Source organism: Homo sapiens, chromosome 6 (genome assembly GCF_000001405.40).
Source record: "Homo sapiens chromosome 6, GRCh38.p14 Primary Assembly".
Taxonomy (NCBI): Eukaryota; Metazoa; Chordata; class Mammalia; order Primates; family Hominidae; genus Homo; species Homo sapiens.
This window is the reverse complement of record NC_000006.12, coordinates 83,278,091-83,303,646: the sequence shown is the minus strand read 5'-3', so window position 1 is coordinate 83,303,646 and position 25,556 is coordinate 83,278,091. Positions and strand designations below refer to the sequence as shown.

General features: G+C 37.9%; 1 protein-coding gene across 1 annotated transcript in view, besides 1 other annotated feature; it reads left to right on the top strand.

Annotated features, from left to right (window-relative positions):
- The window catches only part of ME1 (malic enzyme 1), a 220,650-nt gene that overhangs the window by 127,405 nt on the left and 67,689 nt on the right, over positions 1-25,556 (top strand). The window lies entirely within an intron of this gene.
- Positions 9,109-9,335: a silencer, noted in NCBI's record as "fragment chr6:84004031-84004257 (GRCh37/hg19 assembly coordinates)". NCBI's record gives its function as "represses an EF-1alpha promoter that drives an FKBP-Casp9 reporter gene in an ReSE screen in HepG2 liver carcinoma cells {active_cell/tissue: HepG2}" and the evidence as "EXISTENCE:reporter gene assay evidence [ECO:0000049][PMID:32094911]".

The window sequence follows — 25,556 nt, the reverse complement described above, 5'->3', positions numbered from 1 at the left end:
TGATTCAGCCATGCTTGTGATCATTATGAGTCAGTTGAAATTGATCATCACAATATATTTGACCCAGAGGAATAAACTTCTCATTCAACATTGTAAATTATTTTGTTTTGCATAACAAAACAACTTTAATAAACTTCAGTAAGCTTTAGCTTTCCCTTGCTACCCAAAGTTTATTTCATAAAGAGCTCAAGAGACAATTGGCAAGTTAAATAATTCAAGAGAAAAAATGTTCACAAGAAGTTTTTATTTGCTTTGCATTCTATTCCCTATGCTACATATTAATTGTACAGTTAGCTTCAAAGTAAGTTTGTAGTAAAAATTACTTTCACAATAAAAAAGGTACATAGATACAAGCAACTAGCAAATTAACTTCGCAAAGAATAAGATGTGGGTTTACATAAGCCATTTATGCCAGTTAACTAGACCAGTTCTCAACTCTCTCTTTTTTTGAAACATCTGTATCAGTATCATCTGATTGTATCCTAAAGCAGATATGGAAATAATTTATTATTCTTGGGTCTCTTCTGTGACCCCATTATTGTCCTGTGCATTTATCTCAAGATCAGATTCATTATTAAATCTATCCAGACAATTCCTCTATCATGTCCTTGATCCATTTCTATAACCATAACCCAGTTTCTATAATCATAACCCAACTTCACCATTTTATATCTTTACACCATCTCGGTAACTTCTGATTTTCTTTAGGATCATATTAATAAGTATTCAGGAACTTACCTTTACCCTGCTATTGACTGTTTTCACCTACATATAAATCCCTTTGTGATCTGGCCCATGCACTTCACCTTCCTGTCTGCCATCCTCCACCCCTCCGTGTATCCTTTACACCATTGTATAAATAAATAGTTTTAGTTGGCTGCACATGTCATTGTTCTGTCACACTTCTTCTCTGTATAAACTGCTCCTTCTTCCCCCAGTGCTTTTGCTTATTTAATTCATGCTTATCTTTCATAACTCAGGTTAAATATCTAGACTGGATTAGAGAAGTTTTCTGTATAGTATCCTAGCATGGATACACCAAAATAGCATGTATCACACTGTATTGTAATTATATGTATTTATTTGACTTAGCATTAAGTCATCAAGATATTAGAGGTCAGGGCCTCATTCTTTTCTCTCTTCCTTTATAATATATGTTGTTACTGTGATACTTCTTTTTAATAACTTTAATTTTAAGTTCAGGAGTACATGTGCAGGTTTGTTACATAGGTGACCTTGTATGATGGGGGTTTGTTGTACAGATTATTTCATCACCCAGGAACTAAGCATAGTACTCGTTAGTTATTTTTTTTTTGCTCTTCTCCCTCCTCCCAACCTCCTACTCTAAGTAAGCTGCAGTGTCTGTTGTTCCCTTCTTTGTGTTCACATGTTCTTATTATTTAGGTTTCACTTATAAGTGAGAACATGTGGTAATTTGTTTTCTGTTCTTGCATTAGTTTGCTAAGGATAATGGCCTCCAGCTCCATCCAAGTTCCTACAAAGGACATAATCTCATTCTTTTTTATGGCTGCATAGTATTTCATGGTGCTTATGTACCACATTTTCTTTATCCAGTCTTCTATTGATGGGCATTTAGGTTGATTCCATATCTTTGCTATTTTGAATAGTGCTGGAGTGAACAACGTGTGCATGTGCATGTGTCTTTATGGTACATTGATTTATATTCTTTTGGGTACATACACAGTAATGGGATTGCTGGGTTGAATGGTAGTTATGTTTTTAGCTCTATGAGGAATCTGCACACTGCTTTCCACAAAGCATGAACTAATTTACACTCCCACCAGCAGTGTATAAGTGTTTCCTTTGCTCTGAAAGTACACCAGGATCTGTGTTTTTTGATGTTTAAATAATAGCCATTCTGACTGGTGTGAGATGGTTATCTCATTATGGTTTTGACTTACATTTCTCTAATGATCAGTGATATTGAACTTTTTTCATATGTTTGTTGGCTGCATATATATCTTCTTCTGAAAAATATTTGTTGGCTGAGCACAGTGGCTCGTGCCTGTAATCCCAGCACTTTGGGAGGCCGAGGTGGGTGGATCACCAGAGGTCAGGAGTTCAAGACCAGCCTGGTCAACATGGTGAAACCCCATGTCTACTAAAAATACAAAAATTAGCCAGGCATGATGGTGGGTGCCTGTAATCCCAGCTATTCGGGAGGCTGAGGCAGGAGAATCGCTTGAACTCAGGAGGCAGAAGTTGCAGTGAGCCAAGATTGTGCCACTGCACTCTAGTCTGGGCGACTGAGCACAACTCCATCTCAAGAAAGAAAGAAAGAAAGAAAGAGAGAGAGAGAGAGAGAGAGAGAAAGAAAGAAAGAAGGAAAGAAAGGAGGGAGGGACGGAGGGAAGGAAGGAAGGGGAAAGAAAGAAAGAGAAAGGAAGCAAGGGAGGACATTTGTTTTCCTTTGCCTACTTTTTTTTTATTATTATACTTTAAGTTCTAGGGTACATGTGCACAACGTGCAGGTTTGTTACATGTGTATACATGTACCATGTTGGTGTGCTGCACCCACTGACTCGTCATTTACATTAGGTATATCTCCTAATGCTATCCCTCCCCACTCCCCCCATCCCATGGCAGGCCCTGGTGTGTGATGTTCCCCTTCCTGTGTCCAAGTGTTCTTATTGTTCAATTCCTACCTATGAGTGAGAACACGCAGTGTTTGGTTTTCTGTCCTTGCGATAGTTTGATGAGAATGATGGTTTCCAGCTTCATCCATGTCTCTACAAAGGACGTGAACTCATCTTTTTTATCACTGCATAGTATTCCATGGTGTATATGTACCATATTTTCTTAATCCAGTCTACCATTGATGGACATTTGGGTTGGTTCCAAGTCTTTGCTATTGTGAATAGTGCCGCAATAAACATACGTGTGCTTGTGTCTTTATAGCAGCATGATTTGCAATCCTTTGGATATGTACCCAGTAATGGGATGGCTGGGTCAAATGGTATTTCTAGTTCTAGATCCTGCACAACTCCATCTCAAAAAAAAAAAAAAAAAAAAAAAGAAAGAAAGAAAGGAAAATAAAAGAAAAATATTTGTTGATGTCCTTTGCCTACTTTTTAATGGGGCTGTTTTTTGTTTGTAGATTTAAGTTCTCTATAGATAATGGATGTTAGACCTTGTCAGATGCATAGTTTACAAATATTTTCTCCCATTGTGTAGGTTCTTTGTTTACTTTGTTTATAGTTTCTTTTGCTGTGGAGAAGCTCTTTAGTTTAGTTAGATCCTATTTATAAATTTTTGCTTTTGTTGTGATTGCTTTTGGCATCTTTGTCATGAAATCTTTGCCAGATCCTATGTTCAGAATGATATTTCCTAGGTTATTTTCCAGGGTTTTTATGGTTTTGGGTTTTATATTTAAGTCTTTATTAAGATGATTGTTGTATATGGTGTAAAGAAGGAGTCTAGCTTCAATCTGTATATGGCTAGCCAGTTATCCCAGCACCATTTATTGAATAGGGAGTCCTCTCCCCATTGCTTGTTTTTGTTAGCTTTATTGAAGATTAGATGGCTGCCTGATACCAAAACCTGGCAGAAAACCAACAGAAAAAGAAAACTTCAGGCCAGTATCCCTGATGAACATTGATGCGAAAATCCTTGATAAAATATTGGCAAACCGAATCCAGCAGCACGTCAAAAAGCTTATCCACCGCATTCAAGTCGGTTTCATCCCTGGGATGCAAGGCTGGTTCAACATACACAAATCAATTAATGAAATCCATCACATAAACAGAACTAAAGACAAAAACCGTGTGATTATCTTAATAGAAGCAGAACAGGCCTTCGATAAGATTTGATATCCCTTCATGTTAAAAACTCTCAATAAACTAGGTATTGATGTCACATATCTCAAAATAATAAGAGCCATTTATGACAGACCCACAGTGCATATCATACTGAATGGGCAAAAACTGGAAGCATTACCCTTGAAAACTGGCACAAGTCAAGGATGCCCTCTCTCACCACTCTTATTCAACTTAGTATTGAAAGTTCTGGCCAGGGCAATCAGGCAAGAGAAAAAAATAAAGAGTATTCAAATAGAAGGAGAGAAAGTCAAATTATCTCTGCTTGCAAACAACGTAATCCTATACCTAGAAAACCCCATGGTCTCAGCCCAAAAGCTCCTTAAGCTGATAAACAACTTCAGCAAAGTCTTAGGATACAAAATCAGTGTGCAAAATTCACAAGCATTCCTATACACCAAAAATAGACGAATGCCAAATCATGAATGAACTCCCATTTGCAACTGCTATAAAGAGAATAAAATATCTAGGAATACAGCTAGCAAGGAAAGCGAAGGACCTCTTCAGGAAGAACTACAAACCACTGCTCAAGGCAGTAAGAGATGACACAAACAAATGGAAAACCTTCCATGCTCATGGATAGGAAGAATCAATATTGTGAAAATGGTCATACTGCCCAAAGTAATTTGTAGATTTATAAATTCAATGCTATTTCCATTAAACTACCATTGACATTCTTCACAGAACTAGAAAAAGCTACTTTAAAATTCGTGTGAAACCAAAAAAGAGCCCGAATAGCCAAGAAAATACTAAGCAAAAAGAACAAAGCTGGAGGCATCACACTACCCTACTTCAAACTATACACAAGGCTACAGTAACCAAAACAGCATAGTACTGGTAAAAAAAAAAAAAAAAAAAAAAAAAAAAAAAAAAAAAAAACAGACACATAGACTAATGGAACAGCATAGAGATCTCAGAAATAAGACCACACATCTCCAACCGTCTGATCTTCAAAAAGCCTGACAAAACCAAGCAATGGGGAAAGGATTCCCTATTTAATAAATAGTTCTGGGAAAACTGGCTAGCCATATGCAGAAAACTGAAACTGGACCCCTTCCTTACACATTATACAAAAATTAACTCAAGATGGATTAAAGTCTTAAATGTAAAACACAAAGCTATAAAAACCCTAGAAGAAAATCTAGGTAATACCATTCAAGACATAGGCATGGACAAAGATTTCATGACAGAAACATGAAAAGCAATTGCAACAAAAGCAAAAATTGACAAATGGAATCTAATTAAACTAAAAAGCTTCTGCACAGCAAAAGAAACTATCATCAGAGTAAACAGACAGCCTACAGAATGGGAGAAAATTTTTGCAATCTATCCATCTGAGAAAGGTCTAATATCCAACATCTTCAAGGAACTTAAACAAATTTACAATAAAAAAAAACACACAGCCCCATCAAAAAGTGGGCAAAGGACATGAACCAACACTTCTCAAAAGAAGACATTTATGTGGCCAACAAACATATGAAAAAAAGCTCAACATCACTGATTGTTAGAGAAACGCAAATCAAAACCACAATGAGATACCATCTCATGCCTGTCAGAATGGTGATTATTAAAAAGTCAAGAAACAACAGATGCTGGTGAGGCTGTGGAGAAATAGGAACTCTTTTACACTATTGGTGGGAATGTAAACTAGTTCAATCATTGTGGAAGACAGTGTGATGATTCCTCAAAGATATAGAACCAGAAAAACCATTTGACCCAACAATCCCATTACTGGGTTTATACCCAAAACAATATAAATCATTCTATTATAAAGATACATGCAAGCGTATGTTCATTGCAGCACTATTCACAATAGCAAAGGTAGTGAATCAACCCAAATGTCCATCAATGATAGACTGGATAAAGAAAATGTGGTACATACACACCATGGAATACTATGCAGCCATAAAAAGGAATGAGATCATGTCCTTTGCAGGGACATGGATGAAGCTGGAAGCCATTATCCTCAGCAAACTTACACAGGAACTCATAAGTGGGAGGTGAACAATGAGAACACATGGACACAGGGAGGGGAAGAACACACACTGGGGCCTGTCGGGTGTCGGGGCAGGGAGAGCATCAGGGTAAATAGCTAATGCATGCGGGGCTTAATACTTAGGTGATGGGTTGATAGGTGTAGCAAACCACCATGGCAAACGTTTACCTATGTAACAAACCTGCACATCCCTCACATGTATCCTGGAACTTAAATAATATTTAAAAAAAAAGAAGATTAGATGGTCGTAAGTGCTCAGCCTTATTTCTGGACTCTCTACACTGTTCCATTAGTCTCTTTGCTTAGGATTGCCTTGGCTATTCAGGTTTTTTCGTGGTTCCATATGAACTTTACAATAGCCTTTTCTAGTTCTGTGGAGAATGTAATTGATAGTTTGATTGGAATAACATTTAATTTCTAAATTGCTTTGGGCAGTACGGCCATTTTAATGATATTGATTCTTCCTCTTCATGGGCATGGAATGTTTTTCTATTTGTTTGTGTTGTCTCTGATTTCCTTCCGCAGTGTTTTGTAGTTGTCAGTATAGAGGTCTTTCAACTCTCTGGTTAGCTGTATTGCTAGGTTTTTTTTTATTCATTTTATGGCAATTGTGAATGGGATTGAGTTCCTGATTTGGCTTTCAGCTTGGCTGCTGTTGGTGTATTTTTATGTGCAGGTACTTTTACATCCCTTGGGTAGCAAGGAGAATCTAAAGTTTATTGAAGTTTATTAATGTTATTTTCTTATGGAAAAGAAAATCATTTAAAATGTTGAATGAGAAGTTTATTCCTCTGAGTTAAATACGTTGTGATGATCAATTTCAACTGATTCATAATGATCACAGGTATCACTGAATCACTGAATTTTATGATACAACCAGTCCTGAATGTTGAAACAAAATACAATTTTTTAGCACTTTAATAGAACCTTGAAGTTGGAACACCCTAAAGATGTTTAATACAGGTGATTTTTGTACATTGATTTTGTATCCTGAAACTTGGCTGAAGTTGTTTATCAAATGAAGGAGCTTTTGGACTGAGAAAATGGTGTTTACTACATGTAGAATCATGTCATCTGCAAACAGGGACAGTCTGACTTCCTTTCTTCCTATTTGGATGCCTTTATTTCTTTCTCTTGCCTGATTGCTGTGGACAAGACTTCCAATACTGTGTTTAATAGGAGTAGTGAGAGAGGGCATCCTTGTCTTGTGCCAGTTTTCAAGGAGAATGCTCCCAGCTTTTACCCATTCAGCATGATGTTGGCTGTTGGTTTGTCATAGATGGCTCTTATTATTTTGAGGTATGTTCCTTCAATACATAGTTTATTGAGCATTTTTAACAGAAAGGGATGTTGAATTTTATCGATAGCCTTTTCTGCATCTATTGAGATAATCATGTGTTTTATCTTTAGTTCTGTTTATGTGATGAATCACATTTATTGATGTGTGCATGTTGAACCAACTTTGCATCACAGGGATGAAGCCTACTTGATCGTAGTGGAGTAACTTTTTGATGTGCTGCTGGATTCAGTTTGCAAGTCTTTTTTTTCTTTTTTTGAGGATTTTTGCTTCAGTGCTAATCAGGGATATTGATCTGAAGTTTTTGTTGTTGTTGTGTCTCTGCCAGCTTTTGGTATCAGGATGATGCTGGCATCATAGAATGAGGAGAAGACTCTCCTCAAATTTTTGGAATAGTTCCAGTAGAAATAGTACCAGCTCTTCTTTGTACATTTGATAGAATTTATCTGTGAATCTTTCAGTTCCTGGGCTTTTTTGGGGGTGATAGGCTATTTATTACTGATTTAATTTTGGCGCTCATTATTGGTCTGTTCAGGGGTTCAGTTTCTTCCTGATTTAGTCTTGGGAGAGTTTATATGTCCAGGAATTTATCCATCTCTTCAAAGTTTTCTAGTTTGGGTACATAAAGGTGTTCATAATAGTCTCTGGTGGTTATTTGTGTTTCTGTGGGATCAGTGTTAACATCCCCTTTGTTGCGTCTAATTGTGTTTATTTGGATCTTACCTCTTTTCTTCTTTATTAATCTAGATAGCAGCCTATCTTATTAATTTTTTCAAAGAACCACTCCTGGATTTGTTAAACTTTTAAATAGTTTTTCATGTCTTATCTCCTTCAGTTCAGCTCTGATTTTGGTTATTTCTTGTCTTCTGCTAGCTTTGGGGTTGGTTTGCTGAGGCTGGAGAATTGCTTGAACCCAGGAGGCAGAGGTTGCAGTGATCTGAGATTGCGCCATTGCACTCCAGCCTGGGCGACAAGAGTGAAACTTCATCTCAAAGAAAAAAAAAATAGATTTATTGAGTTGGATTTCAATGTTCTTCCAACTTTCAATGATCTTCATTCCTATCCATATTCTGAATTTTATTTCTGTCATTTCAGTCATCTCATCCTGGTTAAGAATCCTTGCTGGAAAACTCTGTGGTCATTTGGAAGACAGAAGATACTCTGGCCATTTGAGTTGCTCAAGTTCTTGCTCTGGTTTTTTCTCATCTCTGTGTTTGAGTGTTCCTTTAACTGCCAGGTAGATTGAGTACAGGCAGTAGAATTCTTTTCTAGATGTCTCTAGAGGGCTGAGCCTTTGTGCAGAGTCTTTATTTCTAGCTGTCTTCTTGTCTTTGGTTTCACATGGGGGTATGTTACCAAAGTATTTTTTGGTGTTGAAGTTTTGAGGTGTGATCCAGTAGGTGGCACTTAAGCATAATGGTCAGTTGGTAGGCTCTTAATCATGTGGCTCCTCTATATTTACCCACAGTTGCAGCCATGCTCCCTCTTAATGCTCTGAAAGTGGGTTCCTCTCCTATTTGAGTGCTGGCTGCAGATCGCAGTGTGGCACTCCGGGGCTGCACACCACGGTTCTGGAGCAATCTCAGTGTTTATGTTCCTTCTCCAACTTGGAAGCAGCAGTGGTTGTGGCTGAGGGTCTCTCACTTCCCCTTTTCTTCTGGGGCTCTAACCCAGAGAGATGTGGCGCTGCAATCTATCAGTGCAATTGCCCTGGGATGGGGGGCGGCACTGCCTATTGAGGAGCAGGGGGAGTCGGGGGGAACTGTGGAAGACAGATTGGCCTCCCCTCCTTGGGGTAACTGCAGCTTGCTGGAGATGTGGATAAGGCACTTAGGGTCTTTGCTCCTTACCCATTCTGAGGACAATAGGGGCAGTACCACTGCAGAGGCAGTGGCAGAAGGGCTTTTGGTTGCCCCTGGGTTCTCCACGTCCAAGAATTGTTTAGCTGCTGTCACTGGTAGTGTTCAGCCAGGGGGTTGGGTGGCTGCAATGCTGGCCTGAGCAGGGGGCTCTGCTTGTTGGGGAGCAGGGGATCGAGGGCTCACCAGGAGGAAAGACCATTCTCCTCTCTGTATGGTGACTGTGTGTGCTGCAAGCTCGGATAGAATATTTATTAGGTGGTCAACAACTGGTTGCTGAATGAGGGCTGAGGTAAAATCTTAGAGTTGGAATGTCAGAGATGGTGTATCTGAAGACTCTGTAACCTTAAGGGAATTGGATGATTACTTGAAATTAATTCAGAATTCTGGATGAAATAGTGTTTCTTTTTCCAATGATTTACAGTGTAAAATTAGCAGTTCTTAATAATACACAGAGTAGTTGTATATTTGTCCAGTGTTTTTGGAAAAGTATTGTGCATGTATTTCAGTGGCAAAAGAATTTCTTGCACAGAAAGTAAATGTTTAGCTTCATCCATGTCCCATATTTAATATATAATTTAATATGCAAACATTTATGTTGTTTTCTGGTTACAAATAGTTGAGGATAATACCAACTTCAGCCCTGTCTTAGTTTTCTTATTTAAACTCTGGATTAGACTATAACTGTAGTCTCTGCCTAGAAGTATATATAGCTAATATAAATCTCAAGTGCACACAGAGAGTAAATAGATGCTACAACTAAATGCGAAAGAAGAATTAAAATGAGTGTAGTAGCTCGCTTCAGTGGTGTTTTTTATAAAAGTGACTCTGGAGAATTTGTATGTTAGAGATGTCATTTGGAAATAGGAATTGGGCAAAAGAGAAATTGAGGAGATACCCTGGAATGAAGGCAAATCTAGTGAAACAACTGAGTCAGAAGCAGATACATTATGACAGCTCCTTTCGCTTACTTCATTTCACCCCTTTCCCCATCCCACACATTTATGCAGTTGATTTCCTGGGCAAAATTCATTTCTATTCTATTCAGTTAATTTTTTTTTGTTCTGGTTAAAGCTCTAGGCATGGCTGAATCTTCAGTTTCAGTAAAACATACCTAAATAAAATTTTGCCTGTGGAAAATTGTAATATTATTTCACACATATGCAATATCTAAAGTAGGCAAAATCATACAAACAGAAAGTAGAAACAGAAACTAGAAAGTGGTTGCCAAAAGCTGGGGGAAGAGAGGAGGGAGAATTAGTATGAGTATAGAGTTTCAGTTTTGCAAGATGAAAAAGTTCTAGAGATCCATTGTACGATGCTGTGAATACACTTAACATTTCTGAACTGTACATTTAAAAATGATTATGATGGAGGTCACTTCCAAGATGGCCGAATAGGAACGCTCTGGTCTACAGCTCCCAGCAAGATCGATGCAGAAGATGGGTGATTTCTGCATTTCCAACTGAGGTACCTGGTTCATCTCATTGGGACTGGTTGGACAGTGGGTGCAGCCCACAGAGGGCAAGCTGAAGCAGGGCAGGGTGTCGCCTCACCTGGGAAGTGCAAGCGGTCAGGGGATTTCTCTTTCCTAGCCAAGGGAAGCTGTGAGTCACTGTACCTGGAGGAGTGGTATGCTCCTGCCCAAATACTGTGCTTTTCCCATGATCTTTGCAACCGGCAGACCAGGAGATCCCCTCCCATGCCTGGCTCAGTGGGTCCCATGCCCACGGAGCCTTGCTCACTGCTAGCACAGCAGTCTGAGATCGACCTGGGATGCGGGAGCTTGGCGGCGGGAGGGGCGTCCACCATTGCTGAGGCTTGAGTAGGCGGTTCTATGCTCACAGTGTAAGCAAAGCGGCAGGGAAGCTCAAACTGGGCAGAGTCCACCACATCTCAGCAAGGCCTACTGCCTCTCTAGATTCCACCTCTGGGGACAGAGCATATCTGAACAAAAGGCAGCAGACAGCTTCTCCAGACTTAAACGTCCCTGCCTGACAGCTCTGAAGACAGCAATGGTTCTCCCAGCATGGCGTTTGGGCTCCAAGAACAGAAGCACTGCCTCCTCAAGTGGGTCCCTGACCCCTGTGTAGCCTGACTGGGAGACACCTCCCAGTAGGGGCTGACAGACACCTCATACAGGCGGGTGCCTCTCTGGGATGAAGCTTCCAGAGGAAGTATCAGGCAGCAATATTTGCTGTTCTGCAGCCTCCACTGGTGATACCTAGGCAAACAGGGTATGGAGGGGACCTCCAGCAAACTGCGAAGTAACTGCAGCTGAGGGGCCTGTCTGTTAGAAGGAAAACTAACAAACAGAAAGGAATAGCATCAACATCAACAAGAAGGACATCCACACCAAAACCCTATTCGTAGGTCCCAACATCAATGACCAAAGGTAGATAAAACCACAAAGATGTGTAGAAACCAGAGCAGAAAGGCTGAAAATTCCAAAAAACAGAACACCTCTTCTCCAAAGGAACACAACTTCTCTCCAGTGAGGGAACAAAACTGGATGGAGAATGAATTTGATGAATTGACAGAAGTAGGCTTCAGAAGGTTGATAATAACAAACTTATCTGAGCTAAAGGAGCATGTTCTAACCCATCGCAAGGAAGCTAAAAACCTTGAAAAAATATTACACGAATGGCTAACTAGAATTACCAGTGTAGAGAAGAGCTTAAATGACTTGATGGAGCTGGAAAGCACACTACAAGAACTTCGCGAAGCAAACACAAGCTTCAATAGCCGATTCGATCAAGCAGAAGAAAGGATATCAATGATTGAAGATCAAATTAATGAAATAAAGCGAGAAGACAAGATTAGAGAAAAAAGAGTGAAAAGAAACGAACAAAACCTCCAAGAAATATGGGACTACGTGAAAAGACCAAATCTACATTTGACTGGTGTACCTGAAAGTGACAGGGAGAATGGAACCAAGTTAGAAAACACTCTTCAGGATATTATGCAGGAGAACTTCCCCAACCTAGCAAGGCAGGCCAACATTCAAATTCAGGAAATACAGAGAACACCACAGAGATACTCCTCAAGAAGAGCAACCCGAGACACATAATTATCAGATTCACCAAGGTTGAAATGAAGGAAAAAATGTTAAGGGCAGTGAGAGAGAAAGGTTGGGTTACCCACAAAGGGAAGCCAATCAGACTAACAGTGGATCTCTCTGCAGAAACCCTACAAACCAGAAGAGGCTAGGGGCCAATATTCAACATTCTTAAAGCAAAGAATTCTCAACCTAGAATTTCATATCCAGCCAAACTAAGCTTCATAAGTGAAGGAGAAATAAAATGCTTTACAGACAAGCAAATGCTGAGAGATTTTGTCACCACCAGGCCTGCCTTACAAGAGCTTCTGAAGGAAGCACTAAACATGGATAGGAACAACTGGTACCAGCCACTGCAAAAACAGGCCAAATTGTAAAGACCATCAATGCTAAGAAGAAACTGCATCAATTAACAGGTGAAATAACCAGCTAACATCAAAATGACAGGATCAAATTCACACATAACAATATTAACCTTAAATGTAAATGGGCTAAATGCCCCAATTAAAAGACACAGACTGGCAAATTGGATGAAGAGTCAAGACTCAGTGGTATACTGTATTGAGGAGACTCATCTCACGTGCAGAGACACACATCAGGCTTGAAATAAAGGAATGGAGGAAGATCTATCAAGCAAATGCAAAGCAAAAAAAAAGCAGGGGTTGCAATCCTGGTCTCTGATAAAACAGACTTTAAACCAACAAAGATCGAAAGAGACAAGGCCATTACATAATGGTAAAGGGATCAATTCAACAAGAAGAGCTAACTATCCTAAATATATATGCACCCAATACAGGAGCACCCAGATTCATAAAGCAAGTTCTTGGAGACCTACAAAGAGACTTAGACTCCCACACAATAATAGTGGGAGACTTTAACACCCTACTGTCAATATTAGATCAACAAGACAGAAAATGAGCAAGGATATCCAGGACTTGAACTCAGCTCTGGACCAAGTGGACCTAATAGACATCTACAGAACTCTCCACCCTAAATCAACAGAATATACATTCTTCTCAGCACCACCATACACTTATTCTAAAATTGACCACATAATTGGAAGTAAAACACTCAGCAAATATAAACGAACAGAAATCACAACAAACTGTCTCTCAGACCACAGTGCAATCAAATTAGAACTCAGGGTTAAGAATCACACTCAAAACCACACAACTACATGGAAACTGAACAACCTGCTCCTGAATGACTACTGGGTAAATAATGAAATGAAGGCAGAAATAAACACGTTCTTTGAAACCAACTAGAACAAAGACACAATGTACCAGAATCTCTGGGACACATTTAAAGCAGTGTGTAGAGGGAAATTTATAGCACTAAATGCCCACAAGAGAAAGCAGGAGAGATCTAAAATCGACATCCTAACATCACAATTAAAAGAACTAGAGAAGCAAGAGCAAACATATTCAAAAGCTAGCAGAAGACGAGAAATAACTAAGATCAGAGCAGAACTGAAGGAGATAGAGACACAAAAAAAACCTTCAAAAATTAATGAATGCAGGAGCTGGTTTTTTGAAAAGATCAACAAAATAGCCCTCTAGCAAGACTAATAAAGGATAAAAGAGGGAAGAATCAAATAGATGCAATAAAAATGATAAAGGGGATATCACCACCAATCCCACAGAAATACAAACTACCATCAGAGAATACTATAAACACCTGTATGCAAATAAACTAGAAAATCTAGAAGAAGCAGATAAATTCCTGGACACATACAACCTCCCAAGACTAAACCAGGAAGAAGTTGAATCTCTGAATAGACCAATAACAGGTTCTGAAATTGAGGCAATAATTAATAGCCTACCAACCAAAAAAAGTCGAGGACCAGATGGATTCACAGCCGTATTCTACCAGAGGTACAAAGAGGAGCTGGTACCATTCCTTCTGAAACTATTCTGATCAATGAGAAAAAAGGGAATCCTCCCTAACTCATTTATGAGGCTAGCATCATCCTGATACCAAAGCCTGGCAGAGACACAACAAAAAAAGAAAATTTCAGGCCAATATCCCTGATGAACATTGATGTGAAAATCCTCAATACAATACTGGCAAATCAAAAAGCTTATCCACCACGATCAAGTCAGCTTCATCGCTGGGATGCAAGTCTGGTTCAACATATGCAAATCAATAAACAAAATCCATCACATAAACAGAACCAATGACAAAAACCACATGATTATCTCAATAGATGCAGAAAAGGCCTTCAACAATATTCAACAGCCTTTCATGCTAAAAACTCTCAATAAACTAGATATTGATGGAACATATCTCAACATAATAAGAGCTATTTATGACAAACCCATAGCCAATATCATACTGAATGGGCAAAAACTGGAAGCATTCCCTTTGAAAACCAGCACAAGACAAGGATGCCCTCTTTCACCACTTCGATTCAACCTAGTATTGGAAGTTCTGGCCAGGGCCATCAAGCAAGAGAAAGCAATAAGGGGTATTCAAGTAGGAAGAGAGGAATTCAAATTGTCTCTGTTTGCAGATGACATGATTGTATATTTAGAAAACCCCATCATCTCAGCCCCAAATTTCCTTAAGCTGATAAGCAACTTCAGCAAAGTCTCAGGATACAAAATCAATGTGCAAAAATCATGAGCATTCCTATACACCAATAACAGACAAACACAGAGCCATGAGTGAACTCCTATTCACAACTGCTACTCAGAGAATAAATACCTAGGAATACAACTTACAAGGGACGTGAAGGACCTCTTCAAGGAGAACTACAAACCACTGCTCAAGGAAATAATAGAGGACACAAACAAGTGGAAAAACATTCCATGCTCATGGATAGGAAGAATAAATATCATGAAAATGGCCTTACTGCCCAAAGTAATTTATAGATTCAATGCTATCCCCATCAAGCTGCCACTGACTTTCTTCACAGAATTAGAAAAAACTGCTTTAAATTTCATATGGAACCAAAAAAGAGCCTGCATAACCAATACAGTCCTGGGCAAGAAGAACAAAGCTGGAGGCATCACACTACCTGACTTCAAACTTTACTACAAGGCTACAATAACCAAAACAGCATGGTACTGGTACCAAAACAGATATATAGACCAATGGAACAGAACGGAGGCCTCAGAAATAACACCACACATCTACCACCATCTGATCTTTGACAAAACTGACACACACAAGCAATAGGGAAAAGATTCCCTATTTAATAAATAGTGTTGGGAAAACTGGGTAGCCATATGCAGAAAACTGAAACTGGACCCCTTCCTTACGCCTTATACAAAAATCAACTCAAGATGGATCAAAGACTTAAATGTAAGACCTAGGACTGTAAAAATCCTAGAAGAAAACCTAGGCAATACAATTCAGGACATAGGCATGGGCAAATACTTCATGTCTAAAACACCAAAAGCAATGGTAACAAAAGCCAAAATTGACAAATTGGATCTAGTTGAACTGAAGGGCTTCTGCACAGCAAAAGAAACTATTATCAGAGTGAACAGGCAACCTACAGAATGAGAGAAATTTTTTGCAATATGTCTATCTGACAAAGGGCTAATATCCAGAATCTACAAAGAACTTAAACAAATTTACAAGAAAAAAGCAAACAACCCCATCAAAAAATGGGCAAAGGATATGGACAGACACTTCTCAAAAGAAGACATTTATGCAGCCAACAGACATATGAAAAAATGCTCATTATAACTGGTCATTAGAGAAATGCAAATCAAAACCACAATGAGATACCATCTCACTCCAGTTAGAAAGGCAATCATTAGAAAGTCAGGAAACAACAGATGCTGGAGAGGTTGTGGAAAAATAGGAATGCTTTTACACTATTGTTGGGAGTGTAAATTAGTTCAACCATTGTGGAAGACAGTGTGGCGATTCCTTAAGGATCTAGAACTAGAAATACCATTTGACCCAGCTTTCCCATTACTGAGTGTATACCAAAAGGATTATACATCATTCTACGATAAAGACACATGCACACGTATGTTTATTGCTGCACTATTCACAATGGCAAAGACTTGGAACCAACCCAAATGTCCATCAATGATAGACTGGATTAAGAAAATGTGGCACATATATACTCTGGAATACTACGCAGCCATAAAAAATGATGAGTTCATGTTCTTTGCAGGGACATGGATGAAGCTAGAAACCATCATTCTCAGCAAACTATCGCAAGATCAGAAAACCAAACACCGCATGTTCTCACTCCTAAGTGGGAGTTGAACAATGGGAGCACATGGACACAGGGAGGGGAATATCAAACACCGGGACCTGTGGTGGGTGTGGAGCTAGGGGAGGGATAACATTAGGAGAAATACCTAATGTAGGTGACAGGTTGATGGGTGCAGCAAACCACCATGGCTTGTGTATACCTATGTAACAAAACTGCATGTTCTGCACATGTAACCCAGAACTTCAAGTATAATTTTAAAAAAAGATTATGATGATAAGATTAATGTTACATATTTTTACCATAATAAAAACGTTTTTAGTATTTGTCGATGAAAATTTTCATAAAAACAGTTTTTAAAGGATTGTTGAAATATTTAGTGTTATATACTAACCTGTTTTATTATTTTTACAGTTCATATAAAGTGCTTGGACTAATACCTATAGTAAGTGCTTAATAATATCATGATTGAATATGTAACATTTACTTTCCAATGCAATTTGATGCTTTCTTTTTAAGCTGCTTTTACGGAAAGGGTACTTGCACTGTAACTCAAAATCATCTGATGTAGTTCATGAGGGCTATTTATAGTCATAGAGTACTGTGAGGCTACAAGGAAAATTTTAATATAAATATACATTCTTCAGGAATATTTTATGCTTTGTAACAACTCATTTTCCTTGAAATAGCCAGCCTGCTCCTGTGTTTATCACTTCTTTGTGTTTTTCTCTTAAATGTTATAAATGCAAAAGAATTTTCTTTCAAGTATGCCTTTTATATACTGCTGAGCACTCATAAATATTAGGTATTAAAAAGGATATTTTCTTCTAATTTAGATATTATGAGAAGGTAACTTAATTTGAACTCATTGTTTCTCAATATTTAAAAATATCTCTTTAAGTGTAAGAATGAATACTTGATATGTATTCAAATGTTATCATGGATTTGAATCTTCAGGAATTGAAGAATGATTTTAACTATTGACATCAAGGGAGAAAAATAGAAAAGTTAAAGAAGCATTATTTTTTCTTATTTTGACTATGACACATCAAAATACCCACCTGATCTCTTCCATCAATGTTAATAACGAGTCACAGCTAGTACATTTGTTAGTTATGTACCAAGCTCAGTTCTAAATGCTTTAAATTATTTTTATTCTCAAAACAACTATGAGATACTTACAATTATTTATCTTAATTTTTCAGGGTAAGAAAACAGAGGCACAGAGTAACTTATTATAGCCACCCAATCAGAAAGTGACAGTCTGAGATTGAAATCCAGACTCTCTGGCTCCAGAGCCCATACTTTTAATCAGTGCACGACACTCCTGTCTTATTTAAAGAAATCTTATTCAGATATGTCAAGTGCAAACAGGATGGCATCTCTAGTACATTCTGAATTCGGAAATCTTATAAGCACCACTTTTGGTATAATGTGAAAATAGAAATGACAATGACTGTATGCTTTTGGCTGAATTTTAAACATGAAGATAAGCCGTATCCGAACAACTGAAAAAACAACTATGGAAAACTCGGTTATTCAGTTGAAAATTATGCATTCGCCTCTTTTCCTAAACATAACTTCCCTAAAAAAGACAAAACAGTTTGATAATCTTTTGTCGTATTTGAAATTCAAACAAATAGGAAATGTGTGTGAATTCAATAGAAGTTTCATTCAATGGCATTCCAAATCTTGCTATTTCTTGTACACTTCAGGTGCACTCCCACCTCAGGGTCTTTGCTTTTGCTGTTCTCTTGAACCTGAACACTCCTCTAGGTGTCTCCATGCCTTTCTTTATCCCTGTCTCCTCTTCTGCAAGTCTTTACTAACTTGTCACCTTCTCAGTGAAGACTTCCCTTCAATATTTGCATATCTTACAGTGGCTTTCTCCTTCTTCCTTCTCTACAGCATGTATCACCTTATAACATGGTACATAGTTTACTTATTCTTATTTATTATCTGTCTTCAGCAAGTACAATAAAAACTCTATAAAAGCAGGGATTTTTTATGTCTATTTTGTTTCCTGCAATATCCCCAGAGTCTGATTGCAAGTAAGCACTCACTATAATTTGTTAAATGTATTCACTTTATCTCTGGTTTCAAAGCAGTTTACATTAAGATTTATCTGACAGTCTAGTAGAATTAAAGCTTTTATGCTTTTTGATGCAGGCAAAAGAATAAAAGAGAGAAAAACCAATCCATTTTGTTTTGAACAGTCCCTAATACACATACATTTTCAATAACTGTTAAATATATATTATACTCTGCTGGTTAAGGTTGTCGTATTAATCAGTTTTGTGATATATTATACCCCCATTCACTTATTTTCAGTCTAATGTTAAGAAAAGACAAAACGGGAAAACAGATCATCATATGAAAAAGATACCTGCACTGATATGTTTATCACAGTGCTATTCACAATGGCAAAATCATAGACTCAATCTAAGTGTCCATCAACAGATGATTGGATTTTTAAATGTGATAAATATATACCATGGAATACTACTCAGAGAGATTATTTACTTCTTCTTTCCTATTTGGATGCCTTTTATTTCTTTTTATTGCCTGGTTGATCTGGCTAGGACTTGCAGTACTATGTTGGATAGGAGTGGGGAGAGTGAGCATCATTGTCTTGTTCCTGATCTTAAGGAGAATGCTTCCAGGTTTTGTCAGTTTAATATGATGTTGGCTGTAAGTTTGTCTTAGATGGCTCTTATTATTTTTAGATATGTTCATTCTATGCCTAGTTTGTTGAGGTTTTTTATAATGAAGGGATGTTGGATTTTATTGAAAGGTTTTCTGCATCTATTGAGATGATCCTATGGTTTTTGTTTTTAAATCTGTTTATGTATTCCAAGAATAAATCCTTCTTGATCATGATGTATTAACTTTTTATGTGCTGCTGGATTTGGTTTGCTAGTATTTTGTCGAGCATTTTTGCATATGTGCTTATCAGTGGCATTGGCCTGTAGTTTTCTCTTTTTTTGTTGTGTCTTTGCCAGGTTTTGGTAGAAGGGTGATGCTGGCTTCACAGAATGAGTTAGGGAGGAGTCCCTCCTCCTTGATTTTTTTTGGGGTAATTTCAGTGGAATATGGACCAGCTTTTCTTTGTACATCTGGTAGAATTTGACTGTGAATCCATTTTCTGGGTTTTTGGGGGATTTTTTTGGTTGGTAGGGTTTTTATTACTAATTCAATTTTGGAAGTTAATATGTTCTTATTAGGGTTGCAACTTTTTCCTGATTCAATCTTGGGAAGTTGTGTGTTTCCAGGAATTTATCCATTTTCTCTAGATTTTCTAGTTCATGTGCATAGAGGTGTTCATAATAGTCTCTGAGAATCTTCTGTGTTTCTGTGGAATTGGTTGCAACATCACCTTTGTTGTTTTTGATTGTGCGTATTTGGTTCTTCTTGCTTTTTCCTTGTTAATCTAGCTAGCAGTCTATTGATCTTGTTCCCTCTTTCAAAGAACCAACTTTTGATGTCATTGATTCTTTGTGCAGAATTTTGGGTCTCAATTTCATTCACTTTTGCTCTGATTTTAGTTATTTATTTTCTTCTACTAGCTTTAGGTTTAGTTTGTTCTTGTTCCTCTAGTTCCTCTAGGCATGATGTTAGATTGTTAATTTGAGATCTTTCCAAATTTTGATGTGGCAAGATTAGGGAAATTTTCTTGAATTATTCCCTCAAATCTATTTTTCAGGTTGTTTACTTTTTCTCCTTTTCTCTCAGGAATGCCAGTAATTCCTAGATTTGGTTGCTTTATATAATCGCATATTTCTTTAAGATTTTGTTAATGTTTTGGGGTTTTTTGTTTGTTTGTTTTTGTTTTTGTTTTTTATTTTAAGTTCTGGGATACATGTGCAGAACGTGCAGGTTTGTTACACAGGTATACATGTGCCATGGTGGTTTGCTGCACCCATCAACCTATCACCTAGATTTTAAGCTCTGGATGCATTAGGTATTTGTCCTAATGCTCTCCCTCTCCTTTCCCCCCACCCCATGAGAGGTCCTGGTGTGTGATGTTACCCTCCCTGTGTCCATGTGTTCTCATTGTTCATTTCCCACTTATGAGTGAGAAAATGCAGTGTTTGGTTTTCTGTTCCTGTGTTAGTTTGCTGAGAAGGATGGTTTCCAGCTTCATCCATGCCCCTGCAAAGGACATGAACTCATCATTTTTTTTTTTTTTTTTTTTTGAGACGGAGTCTTGCTCTGTCGCCCAGGCTGGAGTGCAGTGGCGCGATCTCGGCTCACTGCAAGCTCCGCCTCCCGGGTTCACGCCATTCTCCTGCCTCAGCCTCCCGAGTAGCTGGGACTACAGGCGCCCGCTACCACGCCCGGCTAATTTTTTGTATTTTTAGTAGAGACGGGGTTTCACCTTGTTAGCCAGGATGGTCTCGATCTCCTGACCTCGTGATCCGCCCACCTCGGCCTCCCAAAGTGCTGGGATTACAGGCTTGAGCCACCGCGCCCGGCCGAACTCATCATTTTTTATGGCTGCATAGTAATCCATGTTGTATATGTGCCACATTTTCTTTACCCAGTCTATCATTGATGGACATTTGGGTTGGTTCCATATCTTTGCTATTGTGAATAGTGCTGCAGCAAACATACATGTGCATGTGTCTTTATAGTAGAATGATTTATAGTCCTTTGGATATATACCCAGTAATGGGATTGCTGGGTCAAATGGTATTTCTGGTTCTAGATCCTTGAGGAATCGTCACACTGTTTTCCACAATGATTGAACTAACTTATACTCCCACCAGCAGTATAAAGTGTTCCTATTTCTCCACATCCTCTCCAACGTCTGCTATTTCCTGACTTTTTAATGATCGCCATTCTAACTGGAGTGAGATGATATCTCATTGTGGTTTTGATTTGCATTTCTCTAATGACCAGTGATGATGAGCTTTTTTCATGTTTGTTGGCCACATAAATGTCTTCTTTTGAGAAGTGTCTGTTCATATCCTTCACCCACTTTTTGATGAGATTGTTTGTTTTTTCTTGTAAGTTTGTTTAAGTTCTTTGTAGATTCTGGATATTAGCCCTTTGTCAGATGGATAGATTGCAAAAATTTTCTCCTATTCTGTAGGTTGCCTGTTCACTCTGATGATAGTTTCTTTTGCTGTGCAGAAGCCCTTCAGTTTAATTAGATCTCATTTGTCAATTTTGCTTTCATTGCAATTGCTTTTGGTGCTTTAGTCGTGAATTCTTTGCCTATGCCTGTGTCCTGAATGTTATTGCCTAGGTTTTCTTCTAGAGTTTTTATGGTTTTAAGGTTTACATTTATCTTTTTTCTTTATTTGTCTGCCTTGATTAGTTCAAAAGACTAGTCATCAAGTTCTGAAATTCCTTCTTCTATATGGTCTAGTCTATTGATGAAACTTTCAATTCTATTTAGAAATTCCTTAAGTGAGGTTTTCAATTCCAGAAGCTCTGATTGATTTTTTTTTTTTAAGTTGTATTATCTCTTCCTGCATTTCCTGGATTTTCTTACAAGTTTCTTTGTGCTGAGTGAGAACATTCAGTGTTTGGTTTTCTGTTTTTTTCTCTCTTTTTTTTTTTCTCTTTTTTGTTTTCTTTTCTTTTTTTTTTTTTTTTTTTTTTTTTTTTTGGAGACAGAGTCTCAGTCTGTCACCCAGGCTCGAGTGCAGTGGCACAATGTTGGCTCACTGCAACTTCTGTTTCCCAGGTTCAGGTGATTCTCATGCCTCAGCCTCCCGAGTAGCTGGAATTATAGACTCCCACCACCACACTCGGCTAATTGTTGTACTTTTAGTAGAGATGGGGTTTCACCATCTTGGCCAGGCTGGTCTCAAACTCCCGACCTCAAGTGATGGGCCCACACCTGCCTCCCAAAGTGCTGGGATTACAGGTGTAAGCCACTGTGCCTGGCCGGAAGTTTGTGTTGATTTTCAGCCTTGCCTTGACATTTTCAGTAAGCCCTGTAGTAAAAATTAGTTTAGATAATGTAAGAGGATATAGAAAGAGTACCTAATAAGTAATGTTGTTAGATGAGTTATCAGAGATGATGTCTCACTTACCTCTTCTGGCTTTTATAGAACGAATGGTTTAGTAGTAATTGTTGTTTTTTAAGTGCCAAGCCACATGAAATTAAGATTAGAGGCAGATTTTTGCTCACTTTATTCATTTTCATTCACTATAGACCCATGATGTTTTGAAAGGTTATATTAAACATCCATGAAATTTTACCATGGCATAAGTCTTCCTAAATCTGCATATATATTTGAAAAGCTTTGAAGTATTTTTTCACAAGGGAATGGTTTATTTTCAAAGACTTGTATAGCTATTCTAAACACCTTTTAATGTGCCAGATATATGATCTTTTCTTAGCATGCTCTTCAATATTTTTGTAAAGTTAGATTCAGAACTGCAAAACAATATAGTAGACTTCATTTTATTTGTGAGATGGTTGTTAAAGCAAGTTGACAATAATAAAAATGATTTTATTAGTCCTCAACAGGGATTAAATATTCTCCCTTTTAATGTCAATTAATTTATTTCTTCAACAAATATTGACTATTTGCCATATGGCAGGTTTTGTTCTAGGCACTGCAGATACAAATATATTATTATGAGTATAATCAGACTCACCCACACAGTTATATCAACTAATACCTAATTATATGTTCATGGTGAGACACAGGCTATAAAATTCTGACACATTTCCACCTGTTTAGCTACTGTAGTTGTTGGATCAATTCTTTTAATTTTATGGGCAGCATTTTTTGTTTATTTACCATCTTGCCAAAACATGGGCAGCAAAAGGAGCAGTTAGTGGAGACAAAATGTGAAATATAAGTAGCTCCAAAAGAGAAGTTTAGCAGATATTGCAAGTAAGAAGTTAATTCATTTAAGGAGAAACAAATACTAACCCTAAGTTCGTTTTCTCTCCAGTTTTAGCCTATCAATTATATACTTGTTTTTAAAAAATGTTTATTGGTTGCCTCAGAGTTTATAGTATACATTTATAACAAATCCAAATCCACTTTTAAATAATAGTATGCTGCTTCATGAATACTGCAGGTACCATATAACAGAGTATTTCCAGTTCTTCCCTGCTGGCCCTTGTCACATTGCTTTCATTTGTTTCACTTGTCCATAAACTATAATTATGGAATATATTGTTGTTGTTATTATTTTTTAAAAAAATGGTTGTTAGGTCAGTTGAGAAAAAGAAAAATATTTTATTTTACCTTAATGTATTTCTTCTCTAATGCTCTTCCTTTCTTTATGTGGATCTAATATCCGACATAATTCCTGACATATCATTTTCTTTCTTATCTTTTAATATTACTGCAAGGCAGGTCTACTGACAAGAAATGTCTTCATTTTTGTCTGAGAAAGTCTTTATTTCTCCTACAGTATATCAGTGTATTACATGATGCAGAATTGTAGGTTGGTGGGGTTTCTTTTCAAAACTTGAAATATTTAACCCCACACTCTTCTTGCTTGTGTGGTTTCTGAGGAGGAGTTTCATGTAATCCTTATTCGTCTTCCTGTGGAGATAGTTTTCTTCAAACTTTCAAGATTTTCTTCTTCTCTTTAATTTTCTACACTTAACTCTGATATGCCTATGTGTAGATAATTTGGTATTTATACAGCATGATGTTCTTTGAGCTTCCTGGATCTGTGCCTTGGTTTCTGTCATTAATTTTGTAAAATTCTCAGCCATTATTACTTCAAATACTTACTTCTTCCTTCTCTTTCTTGTATTCTCATTGTGATTATTTTACAACTTTTGTAATTGTCACACAGTTCTTGGCTATTCTGTTATTTTTTTCTCTCTCTCTTTTTTCTCTTTGCATTTCAGTTTTGGAAGTTTCTGTTGACGTTTCTTTGAGCACACAAATGCTTTCCTTGTGGTGTCTGGTCTACTGATGAGCCCATCAAAGCCAGTCTTTATTTCTGGTACTGTTACTTTGACTTCTATCATTACCTTTCGATTCTTAGAGTTTCTATTGCTCTGCTTAGATCACTTAGCATATTAATCATAGTTATTTCAAATTCCCAGTCTGTTTATTCCAAAATTTCCACTATATCTGAATCTCATTCTGATGCTTGCTTTGTGTTTTCCGACTATATTTCTTGCCTTTTAGGATGCCTTGTAATTTTGTTGACAATTAGACCTGCTATATGGGGTAAAAGGAACTTAGGGAGATATGCCTTTAATATGCTGGGTTTTGTTTATCTGGCTAGGAGTTAAGCTGTGTTTGATGTTTGCTGTAGCTGTAGTATTAGAGGCTAAAAGTTCTTCAGTGTCATTGTTTTTGTCTAACCTCTTGTCTTTGGATTTTTCCAGCGTCTCCTTAAATAGACTTTGAGGCTAGAATTTGTTTTAGCTGTAATCTGCTGTTATTATACCAGAGCCCTGTTGGGGCAGTGATAGGGTTGGGGGGGAAGGGGTTGTTTACTATAGTCCTATGATTGGCTGTCAGTTTTTTAGTGAGCCTGAGTTTTGAGTATTTTCTTTCCTCCATTTGAAAGCCCAGGGAGGACTGTAGTTGGATATTTCCCTTCCCCCAGTTTAGGTAGGCTTTGGTGAACCCCATTAAGTTAGGATCTGGTAAAATAGTTTCTCTTGAGGGTAAGTCCTATTAAGAAGAACAGAATGCTCTGGCATTTTAAAAAATGATAAATAGGCTTGGCATAGTGGCTCATGCCTGTAATTCTGGTGCTTTTGGAGGCTGAGGTGGGAGGATTGCCTGAGCCCAGGAGTTCAAGACCAGCCTGGGCAATGTAGGAGGACCCTCATATCTACAAGAAATTAAAAAAAAAAAGACTCTAGTCAGGCACCAGGCGTGGTGGCAAGCATCCATAATCACAGTTAGTTGAGAGGCTGAGACAGGAGGATCACTTGAGCCCAGGAGTTCTAGGTTACAGTGAGCTATGACTGTGCCCCTGCACTCTAGCCTGGGCGACAGAGCAAGAGCTCCTCTCTAAAAATAAAATAAACAATCAAATTTTTTAAATGGTTACTATTCTCTCCCCGCTTGCTGGAAGCACAAGGGGGACTTTTCCTCAAATCTTCAGTCAAAACCTAATGAAGCTCCTGGAGATAAAACTTATGAAAGTGTGGAGGCCCCCATAAGACTGGACCTCCTAGTAGTTTTTAATTTGCAAGTTAGTATACACTGAGTCTCCAGCAATTCATTAATTACAGTTTAAAGCTTTGCTGCTGATACTGGCTCTTGCTGCACGGTTCTGCTCCTGGGCTTCTACTCAAAGCCATGATTCTCTGTATTTGCCTGTCTTTCTAGTTTTGGGGGCAACCTAATGCATCATGATGGATTGAGTTGTTAACGTGTA